We start from the raw sequence: 3,528 nt of genomic DNA on the forward strand, positions 1-3,528 counted from the left end.
ACATATAGTTGTGATACGGATGACAATATTGGGGGAATGAAATGAAAAGAAGGGGGAAGGAAATGAAGCTATACTGGCTTAAAGTTGCTATCTTTTGCTGGAATAAAGTCAGTATTAACTTGAGATGAGTTGTGATGTTACAGATAATATTAAAATCCCTAGAGCAACCGCTAAAAACACTTCAAAAATATAGTTAAAACATCAAAGTAATTAAAATAGTGTACTGAAAATATTTGTATAACACAAGAAAAGAAAATAAAGGACAGAAAGGGGAACAAAAATCATGAGACATGTATAAAACAAATAGCAAAGTGGTAGACATAAACCCATCCATATCAATAAATGCATTAGATATGAGTGAACTAAATACTTTAATCAAGAGGCCTCGACTGTCAGACTGGATAAAAATGCAAGATCCATCTTTAAGTCTTAGATTTAAAGATAAATAAATTGAAATTTTTCAAAAAGGAAAAAGACAAACCATACAAACAATAACCATGAGAGAGTTGGAGTGGCTTTTTATCAGAGAAAATACTTTAAGAAATATCACTAGGGTTGCTGGCAATATGACTGAATAGGAACAGCTCTGGTCTGCAGCTCCCAGTGAGATCAACGCAGAAGGCAGATGATTTCTGCATTTCCAACTGAGGTATCCGGTTCATTCATTGGTACTAGTTGGACAGTGGCTGCAGCCCAAGGAGGGTGAGCCGAAGCAGGTGGGGCATCGCCTCACCCAGGAAGAAGAAGGGGTCAGGGAACTCCCTCTCCTAGCCAACCGAAGCCATTAGGGACTGTACTGTGCACTCTGGCCCAGATACTGCACTATTCCCATGTTCTTCGCAATCCACTGACTAGGAGATTCCTTCCGGTGCCTCTACCACCAGGGCCCTGGGTTTCCAGCACAAAATGGGGTGGCTGTTTGGGCAGACACCCAGCTAGTGGCAGAAGTTATTTTTCATGCCCCAGTGGCACCTGTAATGCCAGCGAGACAGAACCATTCACTCCCCTGGAAAGGGGGCTGAAGCCAGGGAGCCAAGTAGTCTGGCTTGGCGGGACCTACCCCCACAGAGCTCAGGAAGTTAAGATCCACTGGCTTGAAATTCTCCCACCAGCACAGCAGTCTGAGCTCGACCTGGAACACTCAAGCTTGGTGGGGGGAGGGGCATCCACCATTGCTGGGGCTTCAGTAGGTGGGTTCACCCTCACGGTGTAAACAAAGCCGTGGGAAGTTAGAACTGGGCAGAGCCCACTGCAGCTCAGCAAGGCCACTGCGGCCAGACAGCCTCCTCTCTGGGCAGGGCATCTCTGAAAAAAAGGCAGCAGCCCCAGTCAGAGACTTACAGATAAAACCCCCACCTCCCTGGGACAGAGCACTTGGGGGAAGGGGTGGTTGTGGGCGCAGCTTCAGTAGATTTAAACACCCCTACCTGGCAGCTCTGAAGAGAGCAGTGGATGTATCAGAACAGCGTTTGAGCTCTGATAAGGGACAGACTGCCTCCTCAAGTAGGTCCCTGATCCCTGTGTATCCTGACTAAGAGATACCTCCCAGTAGAGGCTGACAGACATGTCACACAGGAGAGCTCTGGCTAGCATCTGGCAGGTGCCCTCCAGGATGAAGCTTCCAGAGGAAGGAACAGGCAGCAATCTTTGCTGGTCTGCAGCCTCTGCCAGTGACACCCCAGCAAACAGGTTCTGGAGTGGACTTCCAGCAAACTCCAGCAGACCTCCAGCAGAGGGGCCTGACTGTTAGAAGGAAAACTAACAAACAGAAAGGGATAGTATCAACATCAACAAAAAGGACACCCACTCAGAGACCTCATCTGAAAGTCAACGACTTCAAAGACCAAAGGTAGATAAATCCACAGAGATGGGGAGAAACCAGTGCAAAAAGGCTGAAAATTCCAAAAACCAGAACACCTCTTCTCTTCCAAAGGATCACAACTCTTCACCAGCAAGAGAACAAAACTGGATGGAGAATGAGTTTGATGAATTGACAGAAGTAGCCTTCAGAAGGTGGGTAATAACAAACTCCACCGAGCTAAAGGAGCATGTACTAACCCAATGCCAGGAAGCTAAGAACCTTGAAAAAAGGTTAGATGAATTTCTAACTAGAATAACCAGTTTAGAGAAGAACATAAATGACCTGGTGGAGCTGAAAAACACAGCATGAGAACTTTCAGAAGCATACACAGTATCAATAGCTGAATGGATCAAGTGGAAGAAAGGATATCAGAGATTGAAGATCAACTCAATGAAATAAAGTGACGAAACAAGATTAGAGAAAAAAGAGTGAAAATAAATGAACAAAGCCTCCAAGAAGTATGGGAATATGTAAAAAGACCAAATCTATGTTTGATTGGTGTATGTGAAAGTGACAGGGAGAATGGAGTCAAGTTGGAAAACCCTCTTCAGTATATTATCCAGGAGAACTTCCCCACCCTAGCAAGGCAGGCCAACATCAAATTCAGGAAATACACAGAACACCACAAAGATACTCCTCAAGAAGAGCAACCCCAAGACACATAATTGTCAGATTCACCAAGGTTGAAATGAAGGAAACAATGCTACGGGCAGCCAGAGAGAAAGGTTGGGTTACCCACAAAGGGAAGCTCATCAGACTAACAGTGGATCTCTAGACAGAAACCCTACAAGCCAGAAGAGAGTGGGGGCCAATATTCAACATTCTTAGGGAATTTTCAACCCAGAATTTCATATCCAACCAAACTAAGCTTCGTAAGTAAAGGAAAAAGAAAATCCTTTACAGACAAGGAAATGCTGAGAGATTTTGTCACCACCAGGCCTGCCCTACAAGAGCTTCTGAAGGAAGCACTAAATATGGAAAGGAACAACTGGTACCAGCCACTGCAAAAACATACCAAACTGTAAAGACCATTGATGCTATGAAGAAACCACATCAACTAAGGGGCAAAATAACCAGCTAGCATCATAATGGCAGGATCAAATTCACACATAACAATATTAACCTTAAATGTAAATGGGCTAAATGCTCCAATTAAAAGAGACAGACTGGCAAATTGGATAAAGAGTCAAGACCCATCAGTGTGCTGTCTTCAGGAGACACATCTCATGTGCAAAGACACACATAGGCTCAAAATAAAGGGATGGAGGAAGATCTACCAAGCAAATGGAGAGCCAAAAAAGCAGGGATTGCAATCCTAGTCTCTGATAAAACAGACTTTAAACCAACAAAGATCAAAAGAGTCAAAGGGCATTACATAATGGTAAAGGGATCAATTCAACGAGAAGAGCTAACTATCCTAAATATATATTCACCCAATACGGGAGCATCCAGATTAATAAAGCAAGTTCTTAGAGATCTACAAAGAGACTTAGACTCCCACACAATAATAGTGGGAGACTTTAACACCCTACTGTCAATATTAGACACACCAATGAGACAGAAAATTAACAGGGATATTCAGGACTTCAACTCAGCTCTGGACCAGGCAGACCTAACAGACATCTACAGAACTCTCCACCCCAAATCAACAGAACTGAAGGAGATAG

The 3,528-nt window shown here is 43.8% G+C and overlaps 1 annotated feature.

Moving 5' to 3' along the window:
- Nucleotides 642–1,167: an enhancer, noted in NCBI's record as "H3K4me1 hESC enhancer chr1:56225851-56226376 (GRCh37/hg19 assembly coordinates)". NCBI's record gives its function as "activates a minimal SCP1, AML or CMV promoter by ChIP-STARR-seq in primed H9 embryonic stem cells {active_cell/tissue: H9 hESC(primed)}" and the evidence as "EXISTENCE:reporter gene assay evidence [ECO:0000049][PMID:30033119]".

Source organism: Homo sapiens, chromosome 1, assembly GCF_000001405.40.
Source record: "Homo sapiens chromosome 1, GRCh38.p14 Primary Assembly".
NCBI lineage: Eukaryota > Metazoa > Chordata > Mammalia > Primates > Hominidae > Homo > Homo sapiens.